The sequence below is a fragment of the Homo sapiens genome, chromosome 11, assembly GCF_000001405.40.
Source record: "Homo sapiens chromosome 11, GRCh38.p14 Primary Assembly".
NCBI classification, from domain to species: Eukaryota; Metazoa; Chordata; class Mammalia; order Primates; family Hominidae; genus Homo; species Homo sapiens.
This window is the reverse complement of record NC_000011.10, coordinates 78,209,113-78,229,101: the sequence shown is the minus strand read 5'-3', so window position 1 is coordinate 78,229,101 and position 19,989 is coordinate 78,209,113. Positions and strand designations below refer to the sequence as shown.

General features: G+C 50.0%; 2 protein-coding genes across 12 annotated transcripts in view, besides 4 other annotated features; one reads left to right on the top strand and one right to left on the bottom strand.

Annotated features, from left to right (window-relative positions):
• The window catches only part of GAB2 (GRB2 associated binding protein 2), a 202,528-nt gene extending 188,719 nt beyond the window's left edge, over positions 1-13,809 (top strand). For all 5 annotated transcript variants that reach the window (NM_080491.3, XM_024448782.2, NM_012296.4 and 2 more), the window contains exons 4-10: positions 2,051-2,637; positions 3,900-3,994; positions 5,426-5,690; positions 6,907-6,997; positions 7,323-7,425; positions 8,658-8,783; positions 9,687-13,809. In NM_080491.3, coding sequence (NP_536739.1) covers positions 2,051-2,637; positions 3,900-3,994; positions 5,426-5,690; positions 6,907-6,997; positions 7,323-7,425; positions 8,658-8,783; positions 9,687-9,830 — 1,411 coding nt within the window. In that variant the 3' untranslated portion in view covers positions 9,831-13,809. The remainder of the gene's footprint in view (positions 1-2,050; positions 2,638-3,899; positions 3,995-5,425; positions 5,691-6,906; positions 6,998-7,322; positions 7,426-8,657; positions 8,784-9,686) is intronic.
• USP35 (ubiquitin specific peptidase 35) overlaps positions 1-19,989 on the bottom strand; it is a 48,301-nt gene that overhangs the window by 8,118 nt on the left and 20,194 nt on the right. For 3 of the 7 annotated variants that reach the window (NM_020798.4, XM_011545188.3, XM_011545187.3), the window contains 2 exons: positions 18,358-19,654; positions 13,870-15,456 (listed from right to left, as the gene is read on the bottom strand). In NM_020798.4, the coding sequence (NP_065849.1) occupies positions 15,289-15,456; positions 18,358-19,654 (1,465 nt within the window). In that variant the 3' untranslated portion in view covers positions 13,870-15,288. Of the gene's footprint in view, positions 1-2,920; positions 4,031-4,372; positions 4,493-6,574; positions 8,314-13,869; positions 15,457-18,357; positions 19,655-19,989 lie in introns of those variants that run through there. The other 4 variants (XR_001747930.2, XM_047427334.1, XM_047427332.1 and 1 more) reach the window with 4 other exon arrangements.
• Positions 5,190-5,269: an enhancer, noted in NCBI's record as "active region_5318". NCBI's record gives its function as "activates an Ori minimal core promoter by ATAC-STARR-seq in GM12878 lymphoblastoid cells {active_cell/tissue: GM12878}" and the evidence as "EXISTENCE:reporter gene assay evidence [ECO:0000049][PMID:35858748]".
• Positions 5,310-5,579: an enhancer, noted in NCBI's record as "active region_5317". NCBI's record gives its function as "activates an Ori minimal core promoter by ATAC-STARR-seq in GM12878 lymphoblastoid cells {active_cell/tissue: GM12878}" and the evidence as "EXISTENCE:reporter gene assay evidence [ECO:0000049][PMID:35858748]".
• Positions 5,670-5,759: a silencer, noted in NCBI's record as "silent region_3810". NCBI's record gives its function as "represses an Ori minimal core promoter by ATAC-STARR-seq in GM12878 lymphoblastoid cells {active_cell/tissue: GM12878}" and the evidence as "EXISTENCE:reporter gene assay evidence [ECO:0000049][PMID:35858748]".
• Positions 18,117-18,743: an enhancer, noted in NCBI's record as "H3K4me1 hESC enhancer chr11:77921405-77922031 (GRCh37/hg19 assembly coordinates)". NCBI's record gives its function as "activates a minimal SCP1, AML or CMV promoter by ChIP-STARR-seq in primed H9 embryonic stem cells {active_cell/tissue: H9 hESC(primed)}" and the evidence as "EXISTENCE:reporter gene assay evidence [ECO:0000049][PMID:30033119]".

Below are 19,989 nucleotides of genomic sequence, written 5' to 3'. Positions count from 1 at the left end.
CCCTACTTGACTGTAATGATTTGCATCCATGTCATCTCCTGCCCTACTGTGACATTCCCAGACCACCCCTCACTGGGCAGGTGGCATCTCTGTATCCCTTTTGCCTGGCCCAGATGGAAATTAGGACATCAGTAAATGTAAAATGAACAAATCCAGATGGGAGCATCCAACAGAGAGTTGGAAATTCCAAAAAAAGCAAAATGAAAGGCACCAAAAAAATGCATACAACATTAACACCTTATGTCTACCATTCGCTCCCCCCGCCACCCCCGTCCTCTTCCCTAAGCACTACATTATCTAAAGCCTAGATGTTCAATCATCCAAGCCCATGGCTGTTGGCTTGGTTATGTGTCTGGAATGGAACAGAAAGGGAGGAGGAGTGCAGAGGCCCAAGGAGGAGCATCAGTGAAGGTTTGGAGACTGACCTGGAATTCCTAGCCATCATGGTGGGTACAGTTTACATGAGAGGAAGCCTGGCTTTACACACCTGTTTCCTCTTTCTAAGCTCTGGCCCCTATTTTCTAACACCATCTGGTGGCCACATCTGTAAATAACAAACTCCTCAGGAGCTGAGAGAGCTTCTATAAGGCAAAAGGTCCAGGGATTGGCCTCAGAGGGCTATTATGTATTACAGCCCCAACAAGTTTATATGTATACGAGATTTGCCTTTTCTGATGAGACACTCCAAGAGCTTTTGACCAGAATCTTAAAAACTCCTATAGCCTCCAAAAGGCTTAGAATCCCTGCTACAAAGGATTGATTCTTTTTTTCCCCAAGTGAAATCCTATGAAGAATCATACACAAGCTAAAGAAGCAGACCTAAATCCCTGCTTGCTCAGAACCTCACCCTCCAATTTCCCAAAGCACTTACAGAGAACCTGGAATCTAGTTTGAAAACCACTCTTGTGAAACGAAGGGCTTGTAGAGCATCGGGGCCAGATGGGCCCTTAGAAATCATTGTGACGTACTAGGTCCCACCTGAGAGAGGAGGCTTGGTGATACACACAGCACGTATCAGTAGCAGTACTGGAACCTAACACAAGTCTCCCCTCTTGTTTCTCTTCTCTTTTTACTGCTTGCCTTATTGCCCAAAACCTAAATTTAAAAATGTACTAATCAAAACTTTTTCTATATATAGTTCCCAAACAGGAAACCATTCTTCATATAGATTTCTAGGTCTCTGGAAAGAGATCTTTCCCCTCAAAATGCCTCTTAACCAACCATAAATCATGGTAGAAAATAAATCTAGAGCTTACGTTTGAATAGTTTGTTGTTTGTTTGTGTTGGGGCGTGTGTTTTTTTGAAACAGGGTCTCATTCTGTTTACTAGACTGGAATGCAGTGGTGCGATCATAGCTCACTCTAACTTCGAACTTCTGGGTTCAAGCGATCCTCCTCCCTTAGCCTCACCAGAAGCTAGGACTACAGGTGTGCAGCACCCTGCCCAGCTAGTTCTTTTTTTTTTTTTTTTGGTGGCAATGGAGTCTTATTGTGTTCCCAGGCTGGTCTTGAACTCCTGGCCTCAAGTGAACCTCCCACCTCAGCCTCCCAAAGTGCAGGGATTACAGTCATGAGCCACTGCACACTGCACCTGACCCAAATAATTCTTTTCAACTTACAACATCAATACCCATGGGCTAGTTTCACAGTGGCAGAATAGACTCAGAGAGGTAAAATGACTTGTTTGCTGTTTCCTGTCATCAACTTAAAGGTTCTTTCCACTGTCTCACAACATTTGTGTTCGAATGTGCATATTCTGCGGTACTTAAAACAGTGAACAAATAGGCAATCCATCTGGCTTATTGATACTTGTTCAGGGAGTGGGGGTTATAACCCCTGCTATTAACTGCCATTTGGAGATGGGGGACGGATGAAGTCTAACATTGTTTAAACATTCATATACTAGAGTCTGAACAACCTTCAAAATATGCTTTTAGTCACCATTTTACAGATGCCTAAACCAAAGTATAGAAAGAGAAAGTGCTTTGCCTCAAGGTCACACAGCTAGTAATTGTCTCACCCTCCTGCCCTTTCCCTTCTTTCTCTTTTAGGAGTGCCAGCTTCTCTCAGGGCACCAGAGCCTCTTTTCTCATGAGGAGTGACACAGCTGTACAAAAACTTGCCCAGGGCAATGGACACTGTGTCAACGGGATCAGTGGTCAAGTCCATGGCTTCTATAGCCTTCCCAAGCCGAGCCGGCACAATACAGAATTCAGAGACAGTACCTACGACCTCCCCCGCAGCCTGGCCTCCCATGGCCACACCAAGGGCAGCCTCACAGGCTCCGAGACAGATAATGAGGATGTGTACACCTTCAAGACGCCCAGCAACACCCTGTGCAGGGAGTTCGGGGACCTCCTGGTAGACAATATGGATGTTCCGGCCACCCCACTCTCAGCCTACCAGATCCCTAGGACATTCACTCTGGACAAAAACCACAATGCCATGACAGTGGCCACTCCTGGGGACTCAGCCATAGCTCCCCCACCCCGCCCCCCCAAGCCAAGTCAGGCAGAAACACCTCGATGGGGCAGTCCTCAGCAGAGACCGCCAATCAGTGAAAATAGCAGATCTGTCGCTGCCACCATCCCCAGACGCAACACCCTCCCTGCAATGGACAACAGCCGACTTCACCGAGGTCAGTATAAGTCCTAGCTGAGACTCAGAGGGAGGAGGAGGTAACACAGGGGTTCTCAATAGTTTGATGGTCCTTGGTCATCCATGGCCGAGGGGAACTTACGAACCACCTAGGTCACTGATACTCAAAAACATAGGTGTCTTCTACCCAGATCCCTTACCAGTTGGTCCTCCAGCACTGGAGGCTGTTAGTAGTAGTTGTCTAACAGAGCTAGCCCCAGAGAAGTTAATGTTCTACTAATGGAGAATAGGACATTCTTGATTAACCACAGTATAACATATTATGGGTTTAGAAGCCCAAATCATTGTATTTTATTCATTTGTAAATCAAATCAAAGATTTAAAAAATAAATTCAGAAGATCAGTCCAAACTGGAGTGAAACCTGTGTGGACTAACAGACTGCTAAAGCAAAACGAGGTCTTAATATTTTCTAAATCATACTTGAATCTCTTTGGTTGAAGTCAAAACTTTTATTTGAAGTACCTAAATTCTATTGTTACTTGTTTTCCACTGAGAGTATTCCAACTCTGCATGTAACCTCCTCTGTATGATGAAAAAATAGAACAATATTAATTCCTTTCATTTTGCATCTTGCTTTATGGTTTGCAAAGCCTTTTCTTGTCCATCCTGTTGTTTAAGCCAGGCAGAGAGGTTGGTGGGACAAAACCTCCTTGTCTCCATCTCACATGAGGCCAATGACAGTTAAGAGACTTAAATAGAGTTGCAGAGTCATTGTGCCAGAGATGAGACTCAGACCCTAGAGTCCCAGCTCCTAGTTTAGACCTCTTTGCCGTCTTTCAATCCATCGACAATTTGAGCAGTCATACTCCGTTTTGGAACTGAGATGATAAAGACATACATAAAACATGTTCCTGCCCTTCAGAGCTTACATCTCATTGGGAAAATAAAACCAACACATATAAATCAGGACAAGTATTGTTACTGTGGTGTTCAGAGAAGTGATGGCTGGGGTGAGCAGGACAGGTGAGTGGTGTAGGAGTCAAAGGAGAGGTGCATAGATGAGGGTAGAGTAGTCAAGGACAGCTTCTCTGCAGATGCTAACACTGGAGCTACATCTAGAAGCCCAGGAGGAATTTTTGAACTGAGGAGTGATGTGTTCGAAGAAATTCCTTATCATTTGGGGTTGAGAGTAGTATCTTCTGGAGTATCAGTAAGACCTTGAACCACACTGGTGAGGGTATGGGTAAGTGTCAACACATGAATCAACCATGAGTACTTATGAATCCTCCTTCCTCTGTCAGCTTCTTCCTGTGAGACCTACGAGTACCCACAGCGTGGTGGAGAGAGTGCAGGCCGGTCTGCTGAATCCATGAGTGATGGAGTTGGCTCTTTCCTGGTGAGTGTGGGTTAACCCAAGGGTCCTCAGGCCGGCCTGGTTAGGTAAAAGGTCACACCTTATGGAATTAAAAGCACAACCCCAAAAGATTGATGGCGTCTCCATCTTAGGACCCTGCCCAAGTTCTTGTCTCAGTTCAGAACCCTGCGTTGAGTCTTTGGACAAGTAAGATATAAGTATTCTAGTCTGGAAGAAATGTATGTGCTAAGGTAGACTGGATTACAAGGTTCACCAACCTTGTAGGTAAGCAGAGGATCTAGAATGCAATAGACCCAGGCTGCACGGTGGGGGAACCTCTAAGACAGCAACCTTACCCACGTGGCCTCACATGCAGGAGGGAGGCTGCAGTGTGAGACTCCAGGCAAGGGTGGTACTCACAGTCAGGCTAAGTGGCAGAATTATGGCTTGAGTGCAGGATCCCAGGCTGCCCTCTGGAAGATGCTAACCGCAGTTCTCCAAGGTGTCAGGCAAGAAGACCAGGGCCTGGCTTCAGGCCCACTGAAAAGACAGTGAAATCAGGTAACCAAGGCAGAAGCAGCTTAGTTGTATGTCACGGCAGATAGAGCAAGAGTTAGAGGAAGGCTGGGATTGCTGTATCACACAACTCTGTAGAAGCTCTGACTGCAGCTTGGTGGTCCCCTAGGTGCCTGGAGTGAGCCCCAGGTACTTAGAAACCTGGACTGGGGAAACACAACTGGCCCCAGACCTCACCTTCCAGAGCCAGGACTCCTAATATGCTCCTTGTTCTGATCCAGGGCCTGAGATGCTGACCTGCCAGTGGTGAGTCTGGACTTGAGGTGGAGGGCAGGTCCTGAACCAAACCTACAGTCTATGGACTATGCCACCCACAGTGTTGGTCAGGCGTCCAGAAAGCCAAGTGGACCCAGTCACCAAGAATATTTTATACTCTAGATTTATCAAAAATTATTAGTGGATGCCAAAGGATCGTGAAGGCTTGAAGGGGCCCACAGACCTCATATATTCTTGTCTCCCACTCTGCTTCCTTTTTTTTATTTTTTATTTTTTGAAACAGAGTCTCACTCTGTCACCCAGGCTGGAGTGCAGTGGCATGATCTTGGCTCACTACAACCTTGGCCTCCCAGCTTCAAGCGATTCTCGTGCCTCAGCCTCCTGAGTAGCTGGGACTACAAGCATATGCCACCACGCCCAGCTAATACTTTGGATTTTTAGTAGAGAGGAGGTTTTGCCATGTTGGCCAAGCTGGTCTCGAACCCCTCACCTCAAGTGATCCACCTGCCTCAGCCTCCCACTACTCTGCTTTCTTATTTGGTCTCCCCAAGGTCTCCCTTACAGCTTCAAAGTATAGCTAACCCAGTCATGACTTGTCTTGCCTCATTTACAAAGTCTTACCCCCTTCCTGTTTCTTCTTGCTAGTAACAGCTGTATTTCTTTCACTGTTCCTCTCCCTAGCCAGGGAAAATGATTGTGGGCCGATCGGACAGCACCAATTCTGAAGACAACTATGTGCCCATGAATCCAGGTTCTTCCACCCTGTTGGCCATGGAACGAGCAGGTGATAATTCCCAGAGCGTCTACATCCCAATGAGCCCAGGGGCCCATCACTTTGACTCACTTGGCTACCCATCAACAACCCTTCCTGTGCACCGAGGCCCCAGCAGAGGAAGTGAGATTCAGCCACCCCCTGTCAACCGCAACCTCAAACCTGATCGGAAAGGTAAGTCCATTCTTTCCCCTGTCCCATCTCTGGACAGTGGCTAGGGACTCTTTCCATTTGCTTAGGGGTCATGTGGATCCTGGACTTGAGAGGTGTGACTTGGGGCAAATCATGTAAAATCTGAGTCTCAGTTTTCTTATCTGTGAAATGCAGATGGTAATTCCTACCTCCCAGGTTTGCTGCAAAGGAGAGCATCTAGGATAGTACTTTGGTACATAGCAGGCGTTCAGTAAAGTCAGCTTTGTGCCCCCTGCATGTAGACCAGGCAAGGTCCTCGTCTGCTACAATCTCACTCTCCTGGCATTGGATCAGTGGCAAGGATTCAAAGGGAGGAGTAGGATAGCTAGGCAGAGATAGCCCCCTGTGGGTCTGGCCAACAGGGAATTCAAATCTTAGCATTTGGAACTGAAGCCCTCAAGCCCTTATGGCATCTACCTTCCTCCACTGTGGCTTGCACCGACCTGGCCAGGAGCAGCAGGGAGTAGTCACGGTGACCATCTATACTTCAAATATGGTCTCTTGGCTGGGCGCCATGGCTCACGCCTGTACGCCTGTAACCCCAACACTTTGGGAGGCTGAGGCGAGTGGATCACCTGAGGTCAGAAGTTCGAGACCAGCCTGGCCAAAATAGTGAAACCCCGTCTCTACTAAAAATATAAAAATTAGCTAAGCGTGGTGGCAGGCGCCTATAGTCCCAGCTACTAGGGAGGCTGAGGCAGGAGAATCACTTGAACTCAGGAGGCAGAGGTTGCAGTGAGCTGAGATTGCGCCGCTGCACTCCAGCCTGAGCAACAGAGTGAGACCCCGTCTTAAAAAATACATATATGTGTGTTAATATATAAATAGTATATATTTTTATAAATATTAATATATTAATATATAAATATATTTTATATATAGTCTTTTATTTTTAAATGAAGTCATAAATTGAGGGAGAAAAATCTGTTGTCAAACCCTGTGTCCCCACTTTTGATTCTGAAAATATAATTACCATAGATACAGCAGAAAGAATATATAATTTGGAATCTGAAGACATGACTTCAAGGCTCATCAATATGGGCAAAGATTATACAACCTCGCTGAGCGTCAGTTTCCCTGTGTGAAACTGGAATGACTTTGCAGGCCTTTATAAACATGCTCATGTGTTATATATAAGGTGTGTATGTGTAGCATTATCATTACTGGCTGATTACCAGACTTTCTTTTCCTGCTCCAGCAAAGCCAACACCACTTGACCTGAGGAACAACACCGTCATCGATGAACTCCCCTTCAAGTCACCTATCACCAAGTCTTGGTCTAGGGCCAAGTAAGTGCGTATGTGTGGGGGTGGGAGCTTGGAGTCGGGCCATTAGGGAAAATGAGTGATGTGGTAGCTGGCCTGTGGGCCGGGACAGCTGGATTCTGATGCTAACGCTATCATTAGCTGATCATGTCTCGATGTCTTGTGGCTTGGTTTCCTCAGCTGTAAAAGAGAATAATTATACCTGCCCTATATCAGATCTTAATCTGATGGAGTGTGCAGCTCTAATGGCTGAGGTCTGGGTGTGTGAGGGTCAGGGCCCAGCTGGAGGCTAGAAACATGGCAGCAGCCATGCAGCTTCCCCAGTGTTAACTCTTCCTTCCCACAACAGCCACACCTTCAACTCCAGCTCCTCCCAGTACTGCCGCCCCATCTCCACCCAGAGCATCACCAGCACAGACTCAGGAGACAGCGAAGAGAACTATGTCCCTATGGTGAGTCCTTCGGGCTTCGCTGGAATGACGCCTTTCAAGTCCCCTGGGACCCACCCCTCAGTTCCCCACTTCCCAGCTTAGCTAACTCACCTCAGCCCAGGGACTCCTTGTATTATTCATGATTTAGTCTCCTGCTACAAACCCTTCTTGAGCACCTGTTTATCAAGCAGTAGGAGTTGTCATCAGATGTAAGGAAGACATGAGACCTGTCCCAACGAAGTCATGGTCTTCAAGAGCAGGGGCCTGCCTCTCATGACAGTGACATGGGTGGCATGATCTGTGCCCTTGGATAGGCAGTGCTGGAGGTATCTCCTCAGTGGTGGAGGTATCTCCTCAGTGGTGAGAGGCATACGTGCACATAACTCACTTTGGTGAGGCCATAATAGAGCTATCAACACAGGCAGAGGAGGATATTTCTTCCCTGAGATTTCCATTAAGGGCGTAACTGCCCAGCACCTGGTAGTCACTGCATAGATAGTGAAAGAATGAATTAACCAACCAGTAAAGCAGCCAACAAACAGAACACAGGACTATCACCTTCTCATTAGAATAAGACTTCCAGAAAGTTCTAGAGGAGGTGGTGCTCTGCTAGAGCACGAGCCTGGATGGACAGGATCCTAGAGCGTGTCATCTGAAGAAATGCGGGCTTGTGCAGCCTGGAGATGAAGCCACCCTCTTCAGATCTTGGAGGAGCTAGGCGGGGGAGCAAGCTGCTTTGGGGTGACTACCCCACTCTAGGCCACAGGTGGGAGTTTCACAGGGGCTGATTTGGTGCGACAGAAGAAAACTTTCCAGTGCATAAAGGAAATGTGCTCCTTTCTTAAGCGCCAGCAAGCAAAGGCTGGATGTCTCAGGAGAGCCACTGTTGATGAGACTTGGCCTGATGTGCTAGAAAGGAGGCAGTGTGGTACAGGGGTTAGCACAGGTTTGGAAGTCAGAAAACAGACCTGATTCCCATCACTCAACAGCTGTGCAGCCACAGGCAAAGTCACTTCTCTGAAAGTAAAGTGAACCACAGTTTCATCTTTGCTTTAAACAGTATCAACAGTAATCATACCTACCTTACAGGATTGTCATGAGGATTAAAATGAAAACATGAAAAGTCCTTAGCATGGTGCATGTGTCAGAGTAGGGCTCAGGGAAACAGTGTTCTTACTCCCAGAGGTGTTTTTCTGGGTGGTGGGTTAGTCTGTTTTCTGCAGTCACTCACAGTTTTTTCCTCCTCGTGACAGCAAAACCCAGTGTCTGCATCTCCCGTTCCCAGTGGCACGAACAGTCCTGCCCCTAAGAAGAGCACCGGCAGCGTTGATTATCTGGCCCTGGACTTCCAGCCGAGCTCCCCAAGCCCCCACCGCAAGGTGCCTGGAGTAGAGTTGGGGGGGCAGTAAGAGCTCTCAGGGTCCCGGAGGCAGAGATCATGGAGGCCAGGGTGCCTTCAACACTGAACAGCAGCACTCAGCCTCCCTCCTGCTCCAGTACCCAGCTTTTATGATGCATCTTTAGTCATAGAGCTTTCATCTAGGTCTAAAGACTCCTATTCCTGCTCTCAGAGCACAGTACCCTCAGTCAGAGAACCTCATCAGTCAGCCCATCCCCCGTGTTGTAGAGATGGGCAAATGAGTGCACAGAGATCTGATTGTCCTAAGGTTACAAAGTGAATCAGCAACAGATCCAGGAATGAGGATACTGCCTCCTGGTCCTGGGCTCTCGAGTGGGTCCAGAGCCCTGCCGTCGATACATCAGCCTTCAGAAGGGACTTCCAGGCCTGGGAAAGCCTCCCCAGGAGGCATCCTTATAGCTAAGCAGTCTAGACAGAAGGGTGCAGAGCTGTGCCTCAGCATGGTTCCCCTTCACAGGGTGGCAGTGAGCACAGCACGTAAAGTCCTGTGGCTGATGTTTGTTTGCACCTAGCAAATTCCTTCCCCTGGATGAGCGACCTGACAGAGATGGGTGGAGGCAGAGATGAAGGCCTGGACCCATCCACCAGGGCCAAGGAAGGGCCTGGGTCCTCCCAGAAGCCGGGAAGTAAGAAGGGCTGGCAGGTGCTGCTACATCCTGCAGGAGGGATGATGAGTTTGGAGTCTGAGCTTTAAAGCCCACATTCAGAAAGAGAAGCCAGGCTCCTGAGGCTGGTCAGTGGCAGGCAGAGGCCATGCTCTTCTCCCCTTCAGACAGCTCAGGAAGATCCCGTGCCCACCTTCTTCCTCCCCACCTAACTGGTAACTCACAGCTACTCCCTCTTTCCCACTCTGTCCCCTCAGCCATCTACTTCATCCGTCACCTCTGATGAGAAGGTGGACTACGTTCAGGTGGACAAGGAGAAGACCCAGGCCCTGCAGAACACCATGCAGGAGTGGACAGACGTGCGGCAGTCCTCAGAGCCTTCCAAGGGTGCCAAGCTGTGATGAGAGGGCCACCGCAGAGCCCAGGAGGCAGCATCTCCAGAGCTGGCCCTTCCCATCTCCCCTCTCCCCTCTCCCGTTCTTCCTCCCATCCACCTCCTCTCTACTCTGCCAGTCTCAGCCTTCAAAGCACTTGACATCAGGGACCCTGAACCCTTCCCCTGGGAGGTGAGGGCCTGATCAAGGCACCTCCTCTGCCCACTCGGGGCCCAGCTGTGATTTTTATCAGTAATGGCCATGCCTCCACCCACCTTAGTTAGGAGCTACTTCCAAAAAGCATCCTTCAGCCTCTTCCTGTCCTTTAGACCTGACTCTCTACCAGATGTTTGGAGGGAAGGGCTGGGGCTCTGAGCCAGATTCCACACCTCACGTTCAGTCACAGCCCTCAGCTATCTTCCCTCCGGCCACTGGGCTACCTCTCCTTCAGTCCCAGAAGACAAGTCTCACCAACCCAGGGAGTCAAGGACCAGCAAACCAAAGTGGATAATGGACTTTTTCATTCCTGTTTTTCTTGGCAGGAGAGAAGCAAGGCCACTAAAAGAGGAGATGGTGGAGACGGAGGCTCAGCAGTGGTCTTGAGGGGTAAAGGACTTAGATGCCCAGATGAAGAGGGAAAGCTGACATCTGCAGGGAACCCACTTTGAGGCTGAGGCCATGGCAGGACAGCTGCTGTGGGGTGCAGAGGCAGAAGATGAAGGACAAAAGGAAGGGAAAACTGATGGCCAACCTAGAGCAGCAAGGAGCAGGGCTTGGAGCTCGGGTGGTGGAGATGACAAGGACACTGTGGGGTCTGGGTCCCCAGAACTCTGGAGCTACAGGCCACTCTAGGCCCAAGGGCTAGTCCTCTTCCCCAGTCCCCTCAGAGGCCCCCGCCAGCCCCACCTTGAAAGCAGCATACAGGGGAAGGCTTGGACCAAGCTGGGCGACCAAGCACATGGGGCAGGAACACATGGTAAAGGGGTGGGGAATATGGGAGGGAGTGTGGTGTGGATGGGGGTGATGCAGGGACTGAGGGGAACCCTGGGACAGGCACAGGCTGGGCAGAGGCACAGGGCAGTGCAGGGGACTCTGCAGTGGGGTCGGGAAGTGAGTTTCTTTGCAGTGAGCAGTGCAGTGGAAGTCGGGCACAGAGGTAGCAGACAGATGTGAAGCAGTGGTGAAGGCCATGTAGCAAGTGGGGAAATACATCCAAAGGGCCTGGGAGTTGGGGGGTGCCCAACGCAATCCTTGGGGGTGCAGGGTGGAGCAGAAAGTGAAGGAGGGACACGTGCAAGAGTGGTGTGCATGGTGGTGTGACATGAGGACCGTTCCTAGGATGGGACAGTGGGTCAGGCAGGACAAGGAGAAAGCAGGGCAGAATGATGCCTAGAGGACCACATCAGGCATGGCTGACAGCTTGTGCCCATGGGCTGTGGCGTATGTCAGATCGCAGGGTAGGAACGAGTCTGGCCTGGTGCCGGCCCAGTGTTTCCTCAGCTCATCCGCCCTCTGTTGCTCCCTAGCATTCCAGGAGCCATCTTGGACTCTCCTCCCCAGGTTTGAAAGGCCATCAGATTAGCAGGGACGGGGTGTAGGGCATCACCCAAGGTTCCTTCTCTTAAACTAAGGGTGGGGGATCTGAATGTTTTTATGTTGACTGTTCTTGACTAAATTTTCAAGAGTTTCAGAAGCAACAGGACAGACCAGACGTTTCATTCTACCCTGGGGCGAACAGAACTTCTTCCTCCCAAACAATGACTTCCTGCCATGTTTGATGGGGACAGCTACCACTGTCCTCTGCCCCCATTCCCCTTTCAGCTCCCATGAGCATGCATAGTTCACCAGACCAATGGCCTAGCCATTCTCTAAGTCCCATCCTGGAAGAAGTTATTTCTTCAAGAGCTGCACCTCTCCTCCTAGCATTAGTTTAGATCAACTCAAGGAGTATTTATTAATGGCTGCTGTCTCCAGTTTCTGGGGTTAAGCACTAAGGACACAAGAATCAATCAGACCTTCTCCCTGAACTTAAGATAGCCACAATCAGAAAAAGGACAAGGACATGAGACAGTGGTGATGGCCATCAGACAGAGACTTCAAATGCTGATGGAGGGCAGAGGAAGTACTTAGGGAGGTTGGTGTCAGAGGCAGGAGTGGGGGATCAGGGAAGGTGGATTCTAGGAAAAGGGAGTGCCTGAGGTAGGCCTTAGAAGGGGATGAGTCAGATTTTTACAGAGGAGGAGGGCAGGGCTTGGGTCCAGTGGAGGAAGAAGGAAGGAGAGGCTTGGAAAGCCTTGTGTCTTGGGAACAAAAGGCCTTTGAGCATATGGGTCCAGCCACTCAGAAGTGTAGGGGCCATGCCTTGGTGTTCCAATAAGTGAATGGAAGCAGTGGTGGTAGCTACACTGGGCAGAGTTGGCAGGGTGCTGGTTCACTCTGCCCAGCCCTGAATGTGTGCCTTAAAGGCCCCCTACAAGGGGCCCCATACGACAGAGCTTTTAACTGGTGCCTTCCCTGTACCCGCAGCAGCCACAAGTGGGCCCAGACTATTGCAGCCTCCCATAAACATGTGAGCATGTTCTGAGTGTGCCATGATGTGAGTGGACCTGGCTGGAATCTTCGGAGAGCGACTGAGGTGTTCAAATCGAATCTCCCAGGAGGCTTCCTTCCAGCCCCCTATTCTGGTAACTACCAGGAGGCTTCCTTCCAGCCCCCTATTCTGGTAACTACCAAAATCCCTCGGGTGCAAGTGTAGGGGTAGAGATGGAAGGATGAGAGGTGAAATTGACCTTTTGAAAGCAAAGCTCTGGCTCACAGGCCCCAAACTACCAGCCGTATCTAGCATATCCCCACCCTCCACCCACTACCTCCTCCAACAAAGGAGTCAACTCAGTTGAAAAAACTGGTCCTTTGGCCTATCCATGGGTCAAAGTCCACCTCTCCTGGGGGCCTGGAGAGGACTGAGCCTACGGAAAGGGGATACCTTCCCACTCAGCACTGCTTCACACAGGCCCCCTGCCTGGGGCTCTCCAAGGAGCCTTCTTCACCCACTTCCAGCTCCACTTCTGCAAGGTTAAGTCAAGTGAGAACGATGAGAAATAGGGAGATGGTGTCTCCTTAAGTCCTTGATCTGCCTGTCTGTGGAATGGGAGGTTGGATTAGCTGCGCTGAGGTCCCATCCACAGCTGGTGCTCAGCTGCTTGAAGGGGAGACTCCCTCCTCTGTAACTTCTTTCTGGGGGATTGGGGTGGGCAGTACCTATCCCCAGTCCCCTCCTAGCTTGACTTTAGTGGTTTCCAATGTAGAAGTTAACAAAGTATGCCCCATTCCTGTGACAAAAGCACAACCATTCTGAAGTTACTGGAGCATGGGCTCAGCTCATCCTCCCTCTGGCCCCTTCTCCCATGGGGACATCTCGGCCCAGCACCCCTATCCCATTTCCAGAGTTCTTCCTTCCCCATCTGGGCCTTCATAAAATGCAGGGGAAGCCAGACTGGTCTCAGGAGCGCTAAAGCCCTTCCGTGGGGGGTCGTCTTTCTGGGACTAGCCCTGCTGTTTAGGACCTGGGACCACAATGGGGTACCTGCCGAGGGGGTCCCCAAGAGATCCAGGCTGTCATGTGATTTATGGTGGCATGTGTTGTGTATTTGTTGGCTACTTGTGTCTTGAAATCTAGAATTATTTCACGCAGAATTGTCACTGTTTGTCAGGAAGAGAAAATGGGCTAGTGGAAGCCCAGTCTTGAGTTCTTGTCTTGTTACCATTTAAAATTGACATTTAATTTTCAAATCACTGTTGGTGCCTAATCACTTAAGTTATTAATTTATTCTGTTGTATTCTTTTTTTTAAATTGTAACATATTTATCCGGTGGGTGGGACAGGAGTGTGTTCAAGTGGGTCATGTTTTTGCTGTGGTGACACATGGTACAGGCTTGGAGCTTGCAGGTCCCTTTCTACTGTGGTGTTGGAGCAGGACAATAAAGTCCACTAGAAATGCACCCCAGAACCAGCTGCCGTGTCCATCTTGTCTTGAGGGGCTTGGTGGTGGAACCCGTTCTCACTCCAGTCTGTTCCAATTTTTGCTTTATTTGGAAATAATTGGGTATTTTTCTTGGCTGTGAATAAGAACAAATGCTCTCTACCTCAGCGTCTGTTGTAAAGTGGAAATCATACTAGCATTTACCCATCCAGCTTTCTTAGGCGTCTAGAGATGGGTTCTGGGCGTGTCTGTCTGCTGCTTTCACAGGTCACTTAGATGTGACATCTTGAGGGTCTGTGACATTGGGCCCAAACTCCACACCACCATCACAGCAGGCAGCCCCTGGGGAAGGAGGTAGGTAAAGGCTTGAGAGCTGCCTCCCAGGTGCATCCTCTCCACGGGCAGCATCACCCAGCCCTCAGTAAGGTAAGTAAGTCAGTCAGTCCACACGTTTACTTACACCCCACTTCAGTAGATTCAGTAGAGGGCTCTTGGCTCCCTGTGGCATCTCACACGTCACTGGGGGGCAGGCTGAGTCCTGGCCTCCCCAGACCCCGTGAGCAAAACCCAGTGGCCATCACAGCCCCTGAGTCCAAGGAAGAACAATCTCTTGCTTAGGCTTACTTTTATTTATTTATGAACATGGGTGTCTGTCTTGTCTTCGGTTAGAAGTTAGAAGGGGGCTACAGCAGTGTCAGGGCACTTCACCCAACCTGCAGGTGGCTGCTGTTGCAGCTACAAAGGCCAACTGCTCAGAGGAGCCCACAGGCTTCCTAAGAGCCCACACTTCACAAGGAACATGAACACCTTTGCAGTAAAATCAGGACTCTAACCACAAGGGGGATACAAGTGGTGGCTTCTCAGGCCCTGAGGCAGGCGTGGAGGGGCTGTGGGGGCAAAGGCCTCCTGCTGTGAGAAGCTAGCCCCCCGCCCCCCCCCCCAAAACCATGCAGTGGCGCTTGGTAAGGGGGCAGGTCTCGGTCTCTGTTCTTCTCAGAAAGGTACAGACAGTGCAGGTACCCCCCACCCCCATATGAGAAACAAACAAACAGGACAGCCAGAGGAGACACTGCCCCCCCCACCCCTTTGTGCAAGGCTTGGATCCTGCTGTGCTTTATACCGTACAGCAGTCGGAAGGAAAATAGTACTTGATGTCAAAACATTGGAGCTGAGGTCTAGCCTGTTTCCTGAACATCATCAGATCTTCCCGCATGGGGAGCCTGCTAGGGAAGGAGGGGGAGGCAAAGACCCGTGTGTGCCCATCTCGGCTGCTTCAAGTTAACCAGGACACTTGGGTGTAAAGTTTTAATGGGACTGATCCCCAATGAAAGGGACTTAGGTCTTACTTCCATATCTGAGAGAATCTCTGTGTACCCTTCATCAGGCTGAGGACTAAGGTGCCATGAGCTGTACCATCCTTCCTCTTGGTAGGGCCTGCCTCCACAGCTTCCCTCAGGCCCTACCTGGCTCCTGGAGGGAAGGGGTCAGGTTGGCAGCAGGTTCACATTAGAAGACCAGTCTGTGGAAGTCACCACCATTGCCACCTGCAGGATTGCAGCCCCCTGGAGAGCCTTCATCCTCATCCTTGTCTTCATCAAAGCCCCTCCCCCAGTGCGGAGATGTGGGGAGTGCAGAGATGTAGGCCGCCCTGCTCCGGGCCTCCTTCTCCTGCTCCTGGGAACACAGATGAGAGGAGACTTAGACTTAGAATTCACACCCTGAAGCCAGAGTGAGTCTACCCAGCACAACACCTTTCAATGTTTCCTCTAGGTCCCCAGGGCCTGGACACACAGAGACATTGCAGCTCAGTGGCAGGATATCCGGGGTGGACACCTTCAAAAGACTTCAAAAGACCCCCTCCTCTCAATAAAAACTCTAGTCCCTGAGCCAGCTGATACTAGGGTGTGACTGACTAGCTGACAAGGGCCTAATGTGGTACCGAGAGGTCTGAGGACTTCGAGGGTCATATCACACCACACGGGAACCTGTCCGCAGGCCTCATGATCACGAGGAATGGGCTCTGCCTATGAGAAAGCCCATCCTCCTGCTACCAGGACGTCAGCCTCATGGCGATCCTTACCCGCCACCCTGCCTCCATCTGGACAGCATGGCAGAAGCTGTCCCTGAGAGCCTGACTCAGCCTCAGGCCCCTCCCTGGGCTGCTGCTGGTAAAACAGCACATAGGCTGTGTCCTTGGGGAAGAAGGAGTTGATGTTGGTGACACCCGGTCTGGTGTCCCCACACCAGTTGCTGTATTCCCCCGCACAAAACACAAACTCCAGGCACTGGCACCCATCCCACTGGTCAAAGCCCATGCTGTTCCAGCTGCTCAGTATGCCAGTGCCACCCTTGACTCTAGGGAGTCACACAGGAGGCTCACGTGGGTAGTGGGACCCCCTCCCCCCACACCCGAAGCATCCTCCTCCCCCTCAGACTCAACTGGTCCCTGTACTCCTCCTTCAGCACACTTATTAACTGCATTAATGGGGTTTTCTAGATGATACAGAATCATGTCATTATCTCATCCCAGGAGCTTCTTAAGCTGTTAAGCAACTTCAGCAACTCTCAAGATGATACATACAAAAACCAATGTGCAAAAATTGCTAGCATTCCTATACACCAACAAGAAGCAGGGAGCCAAATCATGAACAAACTCCCATTCACAACTGCTACAAACAGAATAAAATACCTAGGAATACAGCTAACAAGGGAAGTGAAGGAGAGGACACAAATGGAAAAACATTCCATGCTCACAGATAGATAGGAAGACTCAATAGCATGAAAATGGCCATACTGCCCAATGTAATTAACAGATTCAATGCTATTCCCGTTAAACTACCATTCACATTCACAGAATTAGAAAAAACTATTTTAAAATTCATACGGAGCCAAAAAGTCCATATAGCCAAGACCATCCTAAGCAAAAAGAACAAAAGTGGAAGCCTAATGCCTACCTGACTTCAAACTATGCTGTTTTGCTTACTGTAGCCTTGTAGTATAGTACTGGTATAAAAACAGACACATAGACCAATGGAACAGAATAGAGAACTCACTCAGAAATAAGACTCCACACCTACAACCATCTTCAACAAACCTGACAAAAACAAGCAATGGGTAAAAGATTCCCTGTTTAATAAATGTTGCTGGAAGAACTGGCTAGCCATAGGCAGAATGTTGACATTCGACCCCCTCCTTATACCTTATACAAAAAATTCACTCGATGGATTAAAGACTTAAATGTAAAACCCAAAGGTATTAAACCCCTAGAAGAAAATCTAGGAAATACCATTCAGGACATAGGCATAGGCAAAGATTTAATGATGGAAACATCAAAAGCAATTGCAACAAAAGCAAACAATGACAAATGGGATCCACTTAAACTAAAGAGCTTATGCGGAGTACAAGGAACTATCATCAGAGTAGACACAACCTACAGAATGAAAAAAAATTTTTGCAAACTACCCATCTGACCTAAGTCCGATATCCAGAGTCTACAAGGAACTTAAATGTCCAAGAAAAAAACAACCCCATTAAAAAGTGGGCAAAGGACATGAACAGACACTTCTCAAAAGACATTCATTCATGTGGCCAACAAACGTACGAAAGAAAAATTCAACATCACTGACCATTAGAGAAATCAAAACCACAATGAGATACCATCTCACGCAAGCCAGAATGGTGATTATTAAAAAGTCAGGAAACAACATATGCTGGTGAGGTTGCAGAGAAATAGGAATACCTTTACACTGTTGGTGGGAGTGTAAATTAATTCAACCATCATGGAAGACAGTGTGGCAATTCCTCAAAGACCTAGAGGCAGAAATACCATTTGACCCAGCAATCCCATTACTGGCTATACACCCAAAGGAATATAAGTCATTCTATTATAAAGATACATGCACATGTATGTTCACTGCAGCACATTTCACAATAGCAAAGACATGGAATCAACCCAAATGCCCATCAATGATAGACTGGATAAAGAAAATGTGGCACATATACACCACAGAATACTATGCATCCATAAAAAGGAACGAGATCATGTCCTCTGCAGGGACATGGACGGAGCTGGAAGCCGTTATCCTCAGCAAATTAACGCAGGAACAGAAAACCAAATACCGCATGCTCTTACTCATAAGTGGGAGCTGAACAATGAGAATACATGGACACCTGGTGGGGGTGGGAGGGGACCAACACCCACTAGGGCCTGTTGGGGGGTGGCGGGGGAGGGCGAGCTTCAGGAAGAATAGCTAACAGATACAGGGTTTAATACTTAGGTGATGGGTTGATCTGTGCAGCAAACCACCATGGCACACGTTTAAGTAACAAATCTGCACATTCTACACATGTACCCTGGAACTTAAAAAATAAACTGCGTCATTCATTACTCAGTGTCTGTTACTTTGAAGTAAGGGGTTAGGTCTGTCTGGGCCACCAGTATATACCCAGCACTGAGCAACAGATGAATGGGATTTACAAAAAAGACTTAGAGGGGAAATGACTTATCTAAGCCAGTAGTGGGACTGGACTCCCTCCACCAAGAGATCAGATCAAAGGCCCCACGGCTCAGCTCACCTGTAGGTAAAGGATGTTGTCTTTGGAAATGGCTTCCATCAAGTCCTTGTGCAGGGTGGGCTCTGTCCGGACTCTAGAAGAGCCCAACTCAGCCTCGGGCCCCTCCCTGGGCCGCTGCCGGTAAAACAGCACATAGGCTGTGTCCTTAGGGAAGAAGGAGGTGACGTTGCTGACAGATTCGAAGGAAGAGAAGGACACCCGAGTGTCATTGAACAGGTACCACTGGTTCTCGGGCTCTGGCCTATCGGCAGTTCCCAGAGAAGCGGCAGGGCGGGCAGCGCCCTCACGGGCATAGCAGTAGTAGTGACCACTCTCCGAAGACACTCCAGAGTGCACCACCACACTGCAGAGGTCATAGGCCTGGCCACGGCCACCAGCCAGTGGCAGGCGGAGCAGCAGGGGGATGGAGACGTCATCCAGGATCTTGCGGCGCCGCATGGTGCGCAGGTCGAAAGAGAAGCGCAGCAGTGTGAGGATGAGGTAGCACGGCCCTTGGCTCAGCTCCACCACCTTCTCGGCATCCTGCAGGGAGGCACACGACTCGCAGTAGTAGCGGTTTTCTGCTGTCAGCTTCTCGGGGGACAGGAAGTAGTTAACCAGGTCCAGGACGGAGCGGGAGCCCTCAGAGCCACATGTCCGCTCCCCGGAGGGGATGGCAGCATCCGGGTGGGTCCCCGCTCCCAGGCTGTCTTCTTCCTTTTCCTGCTCAGCCTCCTTTTCTGTCTCCTTCTCCACCTTCTCTTCTTCCTCTTCCACCTCCTCCTCTTTCTCCCTCTCTCCTTCCCCTCTGGTGCTTTCCTCCTCCTCCCCCACTTCTTCCTTCTCCGTTCTCTCCTCCTTCCCTTCTTCCTCCCTCTCTATCCTTTCCTCCTGACTGCTCTGCCCACCAGCTTCCTTGGAGTCCAGGCCTTCGATGTACAGGCTGGTGGGGGGGGTGTCCTCTGTGATGCAGTGTTTCCTTTGCCTCCGAGGACCCACCCTGCCTGGCCCCTGTGCACTGGTTGGTGGGGGCAACTCCCGGGCTGTGATGTCTTCTGTGGGGCGCATCACAGAGCCCAGGCGGCGGCGGCGACAGCGCTCAGGAGGAGGGAAGGCGAGAGAGAGGTCCGTGAAGGCCTCCTCCCGGGAGGAGACGTTGAGGCAGCAGAGACAGCAGATCCGAGTCACTATCTTGCCTCCAAACATTTTTTCCACAGAGGTTGAACTTGGGGCCGGGGGCTCCTCGGGCGGAGAGGGCGAGCTGGACTGCTTGAGTTTCTGGCAGATCCTTGTGCCCGTTTTCTCCTCTTCGTGCAGCCTGGGGCAGAGAGCACAGAGTCACTACATGTACATGCGGGTCCCCTTCCGGGGCACTCAGCTTATCCATGCCCATTTACCTTCCCCAACAGCCACACATTGAGACGCACACAAACACACATGCACACACCAAACACCCACACATCCACGTACATGCTCACAACAGCACGCTTGCTACACTCACCCACACGCCCTACATAAAGACTTGCTGGAGCTATGTAATGTGCTCCCATGGCAGTGACAAAGATGCACGGCCCGGTGTGCAGACATACACAATGACCTCCCAGAGATCACTTCCACTCAGCATCTACCAAACCTCCCTCACACTCAGTCCCT